At 37.7% G+C, this 14,238-nt stretch overlaps 1 protein-coding gene across 31 annotated transcripts in view, besides 2 other annotated features; it reads left to right on the forward strand.

Annotated features, from left to right (window-relative positions):
• Window positions 1–14,238, forward strand: part of TENM3 (teneurin transmembrane protein 3) — a 1,355,412-nt gene that overhangs the window by 1,111,034 nt on the left and 230,140 nt on the right. The window lies entirely within an intron of this gene.
• Window positions 1,597–2,450: an enhancer, noted in NCBI's record as "OCT4-NANOG hESC enhancer chr4:183481396-183482249 (GRCh37/hg19 assembly coordinates)". NCBI's record gives its function as "activates a minimal SCP1, AML or CMV promoter by ChIP-STARR-seq in naive and primed H9 embryonic stem cells {active_cell/tissue: H9 hESC(naive and primed)}" and the evidence as "EXISTENCE:reporter gene assay evidence [ECO:0000049][PMID:30033119]".
• Window positions 12,898–13,399: an enhancer, noted in NCBI's record as "H3K4me1 hESC enhancer chr4:183492697-183493198 (GRCh37/hg19 assembly coordinates)". NCBI's record gives its function as "activates a minimal SCP1, AML or CMV promoter by ChIP-STARR-seq in naive H9 embryonic stem cells {active_cell/tissue: H9 hESC(naive)}" and the evidence as "EXISTENCE:reporter gene assay evidence [ECO:0000049][PMID:30033119]".

Genomic DNA, 14,238 nt, shown 5'->3' on the forward strand with positions numbered 1-14,238 from the left:
CAAAAAAGATAACAATTTTAATCTTATTATAGCACAAAATGGCATGCATTAAAGTATTTCTCCTAATGTAAACAATAATTCTATATTTCTGTAGCATCAGCTCTCAGATCCCTTGTCCTGATTTGTCATTAGATATAAATCAGTTTTTATGCTTCTTCCAGAGAAGCTTTAAAGCCTAATGTTTCCTTATTGGAGATGTTATAATTCCAAAGAGGGTAAAATTGATAGTTTCACAGAGAAAAGTATCCTATCCAAAATTATGATGTAAAAGAATAATCCAAATGCCCATGCTGATCCACCCTTATGGTTATTTAAGGTATAATCAGTGAGGCTTGGAATTTAATGCAATTCCATTGGCATCATAATTTTCCAGGGTGTCAGCTGTGACCACTGAGTTCCCAACCCAGTTAAATTATTCTTTCACATTATTCTTTGCATTTTCTGTTTTCTTCTTTCTTTCTTTTCTCTTTATTCCTCGGGATTTTTTTTTTTTTTTTTTTTTTTTGAAAATCAATCCCTGTTGTGTCCATCCAACCAAAATATTTTATAGCGCTTACGTTAACTGACATTTTAAAAGCAGTTTATGTTGTAGATATTAATTAATCCTGAGAACAGTACAATGCTCAGGAGAGAATTATTTGAATTAAATTTGTCAAAAGTGGTATAATGCAAAGATTGCCCTAACACTGCTGAAAGGAGTAATTTTCGTTGTTTCCATAGAAATGAGGAGTTCCTTATTCTTTGGTCCTTACTCAGATCATACTACTTTTGTTTAATTACAATGAAATAGTAACCACTAATCAAAAGATTCTTTGTTCTATTTAGAATTCAAACTTTTGTTCTCCTGAACATATTTACCTGCCTTTCTAGGATTACTTTCTAATGGCAAAACCAGAAAATGGCAACATGAGAGCTGAATTGAGAAGAAAAATGCTTACCTTATGCAAGCACCCTGTAATAAACTTTGAGATTTTCTATTGATTTTTTTAATGCCCAGCGTTTGTTGTATTCTTTTTATAACATTTTTTCATTCCACGGTCATTTTAAGCTTTATTTCATTCACAGTTTCTTTACACCTCTTGCTTTTATTGAAATTTAATTTGAGAAATGGATAATTAAGAATCCTTCTACATTCTATAGAGAGTAACTAGCCCCATGGTTAATGGGTACAAATAAATAGAATGAATAAGATCTAGTATTTGATTGCATAACAGAGTGACTGTAGTCAATAATAATTTAATTGTACATTTTAAAATAATTGAATATAATTGGATTGTTTATAACACAAAGAATAAATGCTTCAGATGATGGATAACCCATTTACCCTGATGTGATTTATTACACATTGTATCCCTGTATCAAAATATCTTCTCATGTACCCCACAAATATATAGACCTATTATGTACCTATAAAAATTAAAAATTAAAAAAAGGTTTTTTTTTTTTTTTAAAAAAAGAGTAACTATCCCCACAACAGTACATCACAATCACACACACACACCCTGAATCCTGGCAGCATTGCAGTACACAGGAATACGTTACTTGAATTGAAACTGCAAAAGTAGTTTAATGCAAACACACACCCCCACATAAATACACTTTTATTTATTAAAAGACAAGGAAACTAAAAAACTGAAGTATGAAGGCCAATTGGAATAATAATGTGTGTTTTACAATTTTTTCTCAAATTTCCTCTTTAACATTAACTCGAGAGTAGATTCCATTCCCAAGGTGATTCAGCCATTCAATATTTCAAAACTTTCGTTATTCCCTCGAGCTCAGTGCCCCCTCTACTGCTTCTCCTACAAACAGTGATTTCCCAGTAATGCCAGCAGAAGCAACAGTGAAGCTAATGCAGTCACTCTGCTAGGGAAGAGAAGTTTTCAAGAGAGGCAAAGGCACAGTTTCCCTTTTTCTTTCCTACCAGTTAATGCCCTCAGTGGGTGGTCATGCCTGCTCTGTTCTTGAACAAAGGACTTCCTTCTCAGGAGCAGCAGGAATAAAACCGACAAGTATCACATCTGTTTCATGCTGCTTCTCCAGTTCCCATGGGATAGCACCACGTCTATAGCAGCAGTTCTGATGGTGCCACAGGGAAACAAGGCAGTAGGACATCATAAATGAACAGATCCTGCTTGAATGAAAGAGAAGGGGAAAAGAAAATACTAAATAACAATATAATGAACAGTGGAGAAGTAAAAGGGCAAAGATACAACTCCTCAGAGAAGACAAATGTTTTAGAGATAGTCTCTATTTGGTGTAAGGTCTGAGTGTTGACATATGTACGTATTTTAGAAGTAGTGTAGGATAGAGTACATCCATTCCTCTCCGTTCATGGCCAGAGAACTGGTCCTGCGTGAAGAATGCACGGTTTAATTTGAGGAACATTTCCAACGGGTCTTAAATTCTGGCCTTTGCTGTTACTGTCTACAAATGGGAAGAAAAGTGGTAGGCAAATTTAAAAACCAAAGAGGATTTAATAATTATAATTAATAATTGAAAAAAAGACAAACTAAGACTCAAAACATTGATGGGAATTTATAAAATTGGATTGGATGATGTTTGTAGAGCTCTGTAAATTTATTAAAAATTGTATTTATGAATTCAAAATTTAAAATTATAAATATATAAATATGTAAATAAAAATGATTTTAAAAATTAACTGATAATAGCTCTTTACAATTTTTAAAATCCCTCCGAATATAGAATAGCATAGGAAAATGCTCATGTTAGTGATACAAGGAAGATAGCAAAGCAGAACTATGCAGTACAATCTTGATTTTGATGATATTTGTATATTAAAAAAAAAAGGAAAGAAACAAACCAAATTTTCCCTGGGTAATGGATTATGGATAGTTTTAGTTTTTCTCTTTTCCCAGTGTTTTTTAGATTTCTGTAGTTTTGTTTTTTCTAAATGTTTGCACTGAAAGTGTAATATTTTATGATGAAAACATACAAAAATTTTAATGGGAAGACTTTTTGTCAGTACCTGCCAGAATTGTTTATATGGATAAACAATTTCAGTTTTTCATTTCTCTGAATGGATCCTGTAGAATTCTATAGAATAGTTATGTAAGGGATTATTTAAGTATTACATGGATATTAAAAACAACCTAAATGCCCATCAAAAGGGAATTCATGCTGTGTCATAATACTATTCAGTTGTTATAAAAGAATGAACCTTCACAAGTATATATTATGTTGGTGAAAAAGTAATTGCTGTTTTTGCCATTAAAAATAATAGCAAAACTGCAATTACTTTTGCACCAACCTATATAAGACATATTGTGCATATATGTATATAAACAATACTGTGTATATCCAGATAGATAGATAGACAGATAGATAGATAGATAGATAGATAGATAGATAGATAGATAGATAGATACACACCCTAACTTGAAAAAAATACCTATGTTCTATTGTGGAGTAGATAAAGCAATTTGTCAAACTTAATATAAAGATAGATTGCATTTTCACAAAATGTATGTGAGAGTAAGATTGTCTAGGCAACCTTAGGCTGTATAAGAAACATAAACATCTATTCTTTTAAGTGAACTAAGTTTTAATTTTGAGCCACTATTCCAACCAGTGGTAGAAACTCATTAAGTAGACACAGTCAAATCAGAGTTTCTTATTAACTTATCCCATCCTAGGAATGAGATTATGAAAGTGTCACGGGATGGTGAGTGCCATATGCTGAATTGTGTCCTCTCAAATTTATATGTTGAAGTCCTACCCACAATTATTTTTTAGGACTTCTATCCTCCACAACTGTGAGAAATAGTTCTGTTGTTCCAGCCGCTGTTGCCTCATGTGTCCACACTCATCACAAGACCCTTTCTGAACTCTGTTCTTCTCTTAGTCATTTCCGTGCCATTTTTCACTCAAGAAAATGTATGGCTGCCCTACCGTGACACCCTGGGCATAGTGGGGGTTGGGGTTGGAGCAGGCTGCCACTTTGAGGCTGTCTCAGTTTCATCTGACTGAACACCCTGCACAGCCACCTTTACTCCTATCCTATGCTACTTTACCCTCCTGGAAAAGGGGCAAGATCTTGCCATACCCTGATTCATCTTTTGTTTCTGTTATTATATCCAACTTTGTGGGGGGTGCAACATGGAGCGCAACTTCTCAACACAACAACACCGTGCCTAATTCTCTTCTGCTCCAGTCATGCAATCACAGTCAGGTACTGTGGGGGTCAAGGGGCCAGGTGCTGGAAAAGTGAACTCTGAGTACTCAGAAATTCTTTGCCAGCCTCATTGTTTCTAGCATAAGTCCAAACTTTTGAAATTTAAAGATCAATACTTTATTTATTCTTTACTTCTGCTTTAACAACTTTTTTTTTCCTAAGGCACCATGTACTCACAGAATATGGAGAAAGGTACAGGAGAAGATACAGTGGTGGTGATGGTAGGAAACCTTGATGAATATTTCAAAATGTTACTCTGGTACACTGGGTTATCTTGAAAGTTAGGCTTAGAGCTGGGCATGGTGGCTCACACCCGTAATCCCAACACTTAGGGAGGTTGAGGCGGGTGGATCACCTGAGGTCAGGAGTTCAAGACCAGCCTGGCCAACATGTCGTGCATATGTAGAGACAAAATGCCGTCTCTACAAAAATACAAAAATTAGCCAGGTATGATGGTGTATGCCTGTAATCCCAGCTACTTGGGATGCTGAGGAGGCAGGAGAATCGCTAGAAACCTGGAAGGTGGAGGTTGCAGTGAGCTGAGATCATGCCACGGCACTCCAGCCTGGGTGACAGAGCAAGACTCCATCTCAAAAAAAAAGAATTTAGGCTTAGAGAGGGGAAGGGGAAACTTTCACTTTTACTTGATATAATTCACTTGATATAATTCACTTTCACTTTTACTTGATATAATTCTATATTATTAAATAATTATCCCTTTAAATAAAAAGTTAATCATTTTTATAAGCTTCATATCAATTGATCCTTATAACAATACTATGATGTAGCAGGGGCAGTTACTATTAACTTGTATTTTAACAGATGAATAAATGAAGTCATTCCTACACATTAAAAGTATCTTTTGATCTGGAACAAGTAAGATAAAATGAGAGGCAAACATATAATGAGTGCTTTCAGTGAGTAAGGAATACACTAGGAAAAAAGCTGTTACAAATATCCTAATAATGCCTAACATTTCTCTAAACCCTTATTGATTAGAAACCATTTTCAAAGTTATAGTTTTTATTGATTATTCTTTTGAAATAGTTTGTGTCCATTCTTTTCTTCCTAAAGGTATCTCTTCCATGCAGGTCTTCATGGTTCATGTTTCAACTACCACCAGATCCTTCGCTCCTGCCAATCATTCCTGCCCCAGTATGTTCTTCACCTCACTTGATTTTACTAAAACATTGCTTGGATCACGTCATCATAAAGACCTTAGGTTGGAAAGAGCCTCAAATGCAGCCTCTCGCCTGGCTCAGGAATCTTTTCAAGAGGATCCCTGGCATAAGATTTTCCTGCCTTTTTGAACCATTGGATAGGGATTCACTGCTTTCTGAGGCAGCTTGTTCTATTTTTAGCTTAAAGTATCAGAAAGTTCCTTCTTTTGGCTCTACTGAATGCTTCTCTTTAACTTCCACACAAAATGAATCCAATCTTTCTTTTATGTGAAAACCTTTCTTTAAAAAAAAAAAAAAGAAATTGTATAAAAAATAGAGACGAGGTCTCACTATGTTGCCCACGCTGGTCTTGAACTCCTGGGCTCAAACAGTCCTCCCGCCTTGGCCTCCCAAAGTGCTGGGATTACAGGCTGTCACCACCATGCCTGGGCAGTGACAACCTTTCAACAAATATGAGACTATAAGTCTTTTCACCTCAATTATTCTCTTCACCACACCGAACATTCCCAATTCCTTTCTTGGTGTTTTCGTTTGTTTTTTTGTTTTTGTTTTTGTTTTGTTTTTTTTTTTTTTGGTCCAATATCCCTGAGACCACCACAGTTCTTGACACACGGTAAATATTGAAGGCATATTTGTTTCCTGAGTTAATGAATGGCTAAAGTGCCCTATTGTTACAGCATTGCTTTGGTTCCAGTTTTATAATCTGTAAAGAAAGGCATCAATACGTGTCCTCCATCTGGTAGTTGATCTGCAGTAACTCCTGCAATGATCTAACATCTGTTTCTCTCTTCTTTTAGCTTCACAGAAATGTCAAATATTTCTATGGCAGTGTAATTTTTAAATATACAAGTTTATTCCCCCTCTTAGCTTTTATGTCTGTTGTTTCTGAACAGCTCATTACAACATGACAGTATAAATATCTTAAATGAATATGTGCCGTCTTACTTATCTCCTGTTGTTGAAACAGTTCCCATTTGGTTTTTACCCAGTGTGTGAAAAGTTCTGTTTTTCATTAGTATCCATACATTATTTGGCCATCACCAGAATGAGGCAATACAGCTTTATTAATATGTTCAGTCATATAGTTAGTAAAGACACTATGTTGCACAGTTTATAAAGTACACGTCTTAATGGAACAGGGTTGAATTATCAGAGCTATTCCTGGTGAATCATAGTCTTGGTTACCACCCATTTTTGCTTATTTATCCTGCCTCCTAGACTTAGTTTAACACTCAAGATAATAGAACCGAAGAACTGAGAAGGTAATAAATCAGTTCATTCTTCTCTGATAATAGGTGTGTTGGCTATAAAGATTGAAGATACAATTAAATTATATGTGAATTTTAGTCATATCTACACCCATTTACTACAAATAAGCAAGAATTTTTTATTGTCAAGTTTCTTATAATTATGGTTCAGAAGCAGCTATCTCAAGTCCTCCCGAAGGATATAGTGTAGTGTTGCCACTATGTTGATTATTCAACCATAGAATTTTTAAAAGTATAAAGCCAAGTACCTCCAGGAATGACCTTAATTATTGAAATTAGCATCCCTCATACCAATGATCATTTACCAGTATGTTTTCAAACTTTCTATCTTAAATCACAGTACTATAAATTTTTATAGTACCCTTTTAAGTATCCAGATTTCTCTTTATTAAGTGAAATACACAGAAAACACATTTCTTGCTTGCTATATGTAGCAGGATTAGACATCTACAGCATTATGCTTTCAAGAAAATTTTTCTTGACATTGTTTAAGAAGGAGAGAGAACAGTGAGATTTCCACATCTGTTAAATAATCATTAGCATGTAGGATTGAATTCTGTCTTCTTTTTCAACCTAAGACCAGCTGTTGAAGTAAACTAGAAGGGCCCCTTAATTATTGCATATTTCAATAGCTTGCTGAGGATTCAGTTACCTAGATCCACCACTCTGATCAAAGGGGACTGATTTACTTTGTCACCATTGTTATTGAAAGCATTCCTTATTTGATTGTTTTGCTTCTAAAATGTTCTATAAAAGGTCAGACAGGGTGTCTTTCTCTGATTCCATCAGGCCTCTGGGAAGAACCTCTGCTACCAATTATGTGCTACTTGGACGGGTGCTAAGACATTGCACGGCTTCTTTCCCTTGGCCTTCATACAGGTTTGCTTTTGTCACCAATATTGCTGAGTCAAAGGTGTCTTAATGTCCATATGGCATTTGGCATCAGTGAAAAGCAAATTCAGAAAAATGAACTTATTTCCTCTTGTTTGTGACGCGATTTGGTACCATTGCCGAGGAGACATTTGCCATGAGTTGTACATCTGTATCAAAGGCTTTAATTTATTTTAAGGGTCTCCTTATTACCATTGGCTTCATGATTGTTTTTGTAAACATGGAATAAAGTCTTAACCTGGCATAACCCACAGCCTAGGGACTAAACAAAACTAAACTAATGCCTGCAACTTTGGCCCTCCACAGGAAACACCGTAAGAATGATTGAATATGAAAATCAAATTTTGACTGCTTCCAAATAGATCACAATACTGAATTATGCCAGTGTTGTGTTTATTGTTTCTCTCTTCCAGCCTTTCACGCACTGTGTCAACTTGGCCAACAGCAGCTATCCATGAGCTCTTGTATGTGGCAGGATGGGTGTTCTGTCTTTATATTGAGGCCACCAATGGAATGTCATTATGCATTTACAAAGATGCACACCTGTTTGGAATATGCCCTCATGCCTCCACAATTAACAAGTTTTTAATCTAAAGCTGTTTTCACAAGTAGTAGATGTCAGAATTTCTTTGAAATCTCTTCATAGCAGACGCACAGGTGTGTTTGCCAGGCCACTGTTCTTTTCTATAGTATTTCACTATTTTCAAGATGAAATTTATTGGTATGTATAGTGACATATATACAAATTTATTGGTATATAAAGGAGGCCATATTCTTTACTATAATGAAGCTTTTTCTCCTAAAGATAATTAAAGTAATGAAGCATGTGTTAACTACATACTGCAAAGGATATGTGAAATGGGAAATGGAAAAAAAGAAAAACTTCTAAATAGAGAGGTAAATAAAAGAGACATAATCTATGCCCTGGAAATCAAAACGTAGGTCGTAGAGCGCAAAAGGGAGTTTGCTTTTTAAGATTTGTTTACCTTTTTTGTGATGGGATAACATAGAAGATTTTTAGTCCATTGTCTCTATTGTCAAAGTATGTTCAGAATTCAACAATTTCCTGTCCTCTTTATTGCCAGCACACTAGCCTTAGTCACCATTGTCTCTCACCTGGATTTCTGCAGAGGCTTCCTGTCGGGTCTTTCTGCTGTCACCCTTGACACCTTCCCTCCCGTCCCATGCCCACCACGTCTGTTCTCAACATAGGCCAGAGCAAATCTTTAAAAGTGTTTCAGTGTGTCACTGGGTCCTCAGAACTTTGCAGTAGCTCCCCATCTCTCAGAGTGAAAGGTAGTCTTTAAAATGGCCTTCCAGATTCTACATGACCTGGCTCCTGTTACCTCTGAACCTCCTCTCCTACTTCCTCCTGTTTCTGGAATATATCTGGCATGGTCTTAACTAGGCCTTTGTACTGTCCCTTATCAGGAATACTCTTCGGGCAGACTTCTTCCTGCTTAACTCTCTCATCTCTTCCATTCAGTCTTTGCTCAATGTTCCTGCTTAAAATTGCAGCTCATCCCTGCTACACACAATCAGGAGACTTCCCACCCTACTCTATTTTTTTTTTATATAAAACAGTTACTGTGTATCAAGTTACCATATAATTTACTTTGTAATTATATTATTAATTGTCTCCCCCCAATAGAATGTAATCCAAAAAAAAAAAAAAAAACAGAAATAGGCTCTGTTTTGTTCATAGAGGTAACTCATGCCTAGAACAGTGCCTGGCACATGCATAGTAAGTGCTTCAAAAGTATTTCTTCATAGAATGAATTGAATCAAAACTGGTAAAGTTGGAAAGTTGGTGTTAAGGGGAAGATATGAGTTCAGTATTGTCCTTTTGAATTTTAGAAGTAAGCGATAGAGCTTTGGAAAGAGAATAATAGGACTATAGATGAAGTTATGGGAATCATGTGCACCTAATTCATCAGCAAATCCTGCCAGTTCTACCTCCAACCTACCTTCAAGCTGTACTGCGTTTCACCTTTACCACAGTCATGTAAGCCAGTATTGTCTATCACCTGGCTTATTACAGCATTCTGCAACTAGTCACCTTGGATCTGCACTGAACCCTCAACACATTTTGAGCTCAACACAGTGAGTTGGAAGGCAAGGATCCAGGGAAGATGAACACCAAAACCTGCAGAAGAGAGGGAATAATTAGTAAAGAGGTATCTGAAAGAAGGTTGGAGAAACAGAATGAGAAGGGGCAAGGCTGCCTTTTCTTTTGAATTAACGGGAAGTGGCTTTAGAAGGTCAAGAAGGTATGAGTAAGTTTACCCCGTTAGAATGGCTAAAATCACAGAGACTAACAACCTAAAATATCAGGCAGGATGTAGAGTAATTGGAGCTTTCATACTTTGCTGATAAGGATTTGGTATGGTACAAACTCTTTGGATAATTGTTTGGCAGTTGTCTATAAAGTTAAACACTTACTTGTGAGCCAGTAATTGTACTCTTCAATATTTATCAAAATATGTAAAAACACAGGTGAAAAACTGTTTATAGCACCCTTATTCAGAATTACCTAAAACAGGAAACAACTCTGATGTCCATCAGTAGGAGAAGGGATTGTGATATATTCATTCAATGGAATAATATTAAACAATAAAAAAGAACAAAGCACGGCTATACATAGAAAAATGAATGCACCTCAAAAACACTAGGTTAAGCAAAAGTGGCCAGGCACAAACGAGTACATACTGTATGATTCCAGTTACTTGAATACATAAAATCCAAGAACACACAGAAAACATTTATATGGTGACAGATGTCAGAGAGTGGTTGCCTGGAGTAGTGGGGAGGAGGAAGGGAATTGTCTGGAAATGGGTAGAAGAGAACTTTCTGGGTGAAGACAGTGTGTGCTATCTTGTTTTGGATGGCCGTTAGCCAGGCACACACAGTTGTCAAATTTGTCAAACTGAACTCTTGAGATCGGTGTACTGTACTGTATGTTAATTACACCTCAGTTAAAACATGTAATCAAAATCTATGGGCCTATGTTGGGAAATTCTGAGATAAACAAGAAGGAAAATGTGATACCTTAAATGCAGTGGCTCAAGTCTTCTTAGAAAAGTAGGGTACAGGCCAGGCGCAGTGGCTCACGCCTGTAATCCCAGCACTTTGGGAAGCCGAGGCAGGCAGATCACTTGAGGTGAGGAGTTCGACACCAGCCTGGCCAACGTGGTAAACCCTGTCTCTACTAAAAATACAAAAATAAGCCGGGCGTGGTGACATGTGCCTGTAATCCCAGCTACTCGGGAGGCTGAGGCAGGAGAATGGCTTGAACCTGGGAGGCGGAGGTTGCAGCAAGCCAATATTGCGCCACTGCACTCCAGCCTGGGCAACAGAGCAAGACTGTGTCTCAAAAAAAGAAAAAAAAAAAAAGAAAGAAAGGAAAGTAGGGTACCAAATTATGTCTTGAGCTTGATACATGAGTGATTAGACTGGAAGAGTAGAAAAAGCTGAGACCAGCTACTTTACGAAATGTGACAGGACGTCAACAAGAGAAAACTAAAGTATTAATGGGCAGAAGTGAAGACCCAGGCAAGGCAGCCAGTGATGACTATGCCACAGTGGAACCAGGCAACATGATTTTGTGGTTTACGGGTGAGTAAATTTGATAACTGCTAGTTAGGAAGCCAGACAATTGGAGTCTAGGGCATTCATGTCTTTCTGGAAGCCTCGGAAAAGGTGAGGTTTGAACTGTGCCTTGAAGAATAAGGTGAATTTTACTAGGTAGAGAATGTGCAGGTAGGATATATTAGGGTAAATAAAATGTATCACTAAAATTAACTCCACCTGCTTCTTTTGATTTTAGTTTGGCTACTAGAAAATTTTAAATTATGTATATGGCTCAAGAACATATTTCTTTTGGACAGTTCTAGCCTTGAGGCATAGAGATAAGCTATTGCCGTAATCGAGGCAAAAGATGATGAATGCCTGGACTCAGACAATGGCAGCAGGGATCGAGGAACAGTAAAATTCAAGAGATATTTCTAAGGACTGAATTGACTGATGGAGGTTAGTGATTACATTTGATGGGGAAAGGGTGATGGAGCAGGACAAATCAAAGATTGCTCCAAGTTTTCTAACTTGGATAATATTGATTGGGAGGGGAAGCCATATATCACATTAGAGAAAATACAGGAAAAAAACGAAGTAGATTTGCAAGGGGAATAGGAAGAAAGAATACCACATATTGACTCCCAGGCACAAGTCACATATTAAATCATGTTCATGCCTGCAAAGATGTAAGAAATTATGACCCAGAGAGAATATTTAGCTCTGTGGAAAATCAGTCAGCTAGAAAGTGGAAGAACTAGGATTCAAACCCACACCAGTGGCGGTAGTAAATGCCTTTAAAACTTGGAAAGGGCCGGCCGGGCGTGGTGGCTCACGCCTGTAATCCCAACACTTTGGGAGGCCAAGGCAGGCGGATCACGAGGTCAGGAGATCAAGACCATCCTGGCTCATCTCTACTAAAAATACAAAAAATTAGCCAGGCGTCATGGCAGGCGCCTGTAGTCCAGCTACTTGGGAGGCTGAGGCAGGAGAACGTTAACCTGGGAGGCGGAGCTTGCAGTGAGTGGAGATCGCACCACTGCAATCCAGCCTGGGTGACAGTGCGAGACTCTGTGTCAAAAAAAAAAACAAAACAAACAAACTTAGAAAGAGCCAATGAGCAAACTATGGTTTGGGTTCTGTAGGTCGATGCGTGTGTTTATCCTGGGTCACACTGTGAGAAGGCTGTGTGCTGTAATTAGAGTTTGCTCTAAGAACTGACAGACTAACCTGGCACACAGTAATCAGAAATGGCAAGATTCATATTCGGGGGATGATTTTTAACTAAATGCTAGATTACAGAATCTGTGTCATTAAAATCAAACAGCTGCAAACAAATATGGGTAAAGTGCAGTCCTATGGCAAACACAACAAATAACTATTGTGCTTACTGTCTTAGACGTGTAAAGGCCCAGGCTATGAAGATGAGGCTGTATTATCATGAGGACATGCCCTGTTCATGTTGTAAAACTTTTTTTAAAACTATACCTTAGGCCAGGCACGATGGCTCCCGCCTGTAATCCCAGCACTTTGGGAGGCCAAGGCAGACAGATCACTTGAGCCCAGGAGTTTGAGACCAGCCTGGGCAACATGGCAAAACCCTGTCTTTTCAAAAAAAACAAAAATTAGCTGGGCATGGTGACATGTGCCTGTAGTCCCAGCTCCTCAGGAGGCTGAGGTGGGAGGATGGCTTGAGCCCAGGAAGCAGAGGTTTCAGTGAGCCAAGATGGCACCACTCTATTCCCACCTGGGTGAGAAAGCAAGACCCTGCCCCACACATGCACACCCTGCCCCCACAACACACACGCACAAATTATACCTTGTTTTCTTTGTATTTTCTTCCCTTTTAAAATGTGAAAGATATAAAATATTTCAGTTAACTTAGAATTCTAGTTAATTGGATTAGATTTTCCTGATAATACATTTTGGTATTATGATCTATGTTTCAGAAAATGTAAATTTCCACAGAAAAATAATTATATAAGAAACCATTGGTATGAGCACTTTAAGAATGTAGATTTTTCCAAGTGTATATAATTAACATAGAAGACTGAAAGTTTCAAACAACGTGACATAATTATAAATTGTTGTGAAACAAAAACCAAAGACCACTGTGGCACACAGCAATTAGGAATGATAAAACTGTTTATTGTTGTTGTTGTTGTTTTGAGACAGAGTCTCGCTCTGTCACCCAGGCTGGAGTGCAGTGGCGCGATCCTGGCTCACTGCAACCTCTGCCTCCTGGGTTCAAGCAATTCTCCTGCCTCAGCCTCCCGAGTAGCTGGGACTACAGGCGCCTGCCACCACGCCCGGCTCATTTTTGTATTTTTAGTAAAAACGGGGTTTCACCGTGTTGGCCAGGCTGGTCTGGAACTCCTGACCTCAGGTGATCTGCCCACCTCTGCCTCCCAAAGTGCTGGGATTACAGGCGTGAGCCACTGCGCCCGGCCAATATTACTGTTTTTAAAACAGAGACTTTGTACTGATTCTTGAGTAGCAGAATTGCACACAACAGCATATTCTTTTTAAACAGCCACAAATCAGAGATTAGTCTTAAAATGAGAACATTTTTGTAAAGACAGTTACTTATCTATCATATTGGTCTTTTCATCCACACTTAAGTAGCCATCAGTCTGGAGGAACATACTTAAATGCCAGCCACAGCAGTATAATATTTTAGTTTACTGAGTCACTTACTTCAGTACCGTCATGGTAAACTCAGGCACAAGTCTACATTTAATTAATAGTACATTAAGAAATGCAGTAGCCTTGAAGAATTCCACAGCGGAGTTGATCTTAATGCCATAGTCAGTGTTGAGAAACCTACTCATTCACAGATGGGTGTACCTCTTTCCAGTGACTCTTCCCAAATTCTAGCAAACTGATATATCAGTCACTTCTATTTAGAGCTAAGTAGAAAAAAACAAAATTGAAGGCAATCAGGTTAAAGAAACTTCCTGTAGTGGTTTTAAAAGAGAGTAGAAATAGTTGCTCACAGATTTGATAAAAAGGCTTGAATTCACGTACCAACTCATATTCATTGTGATACCTGCCTGATTCAGGGATTTCAGTAATTTTTAGGATCTTGTGGGGGTCAGAAGTGCCATAAAGATTAATGATACCTGTTAAGGTC

This window comes from Homo sapiens, chromosome 4, assembly GCF_000001405.40.
Source record: "Homo sapiens chromosome 4, GRCh38.p14 Primary Assembly".
Lineage (NCBI taxonomy): Eukaryota > Metazoa > Chordata > Mammalia > Primates > Hominidae > Homo > Homo sapiens.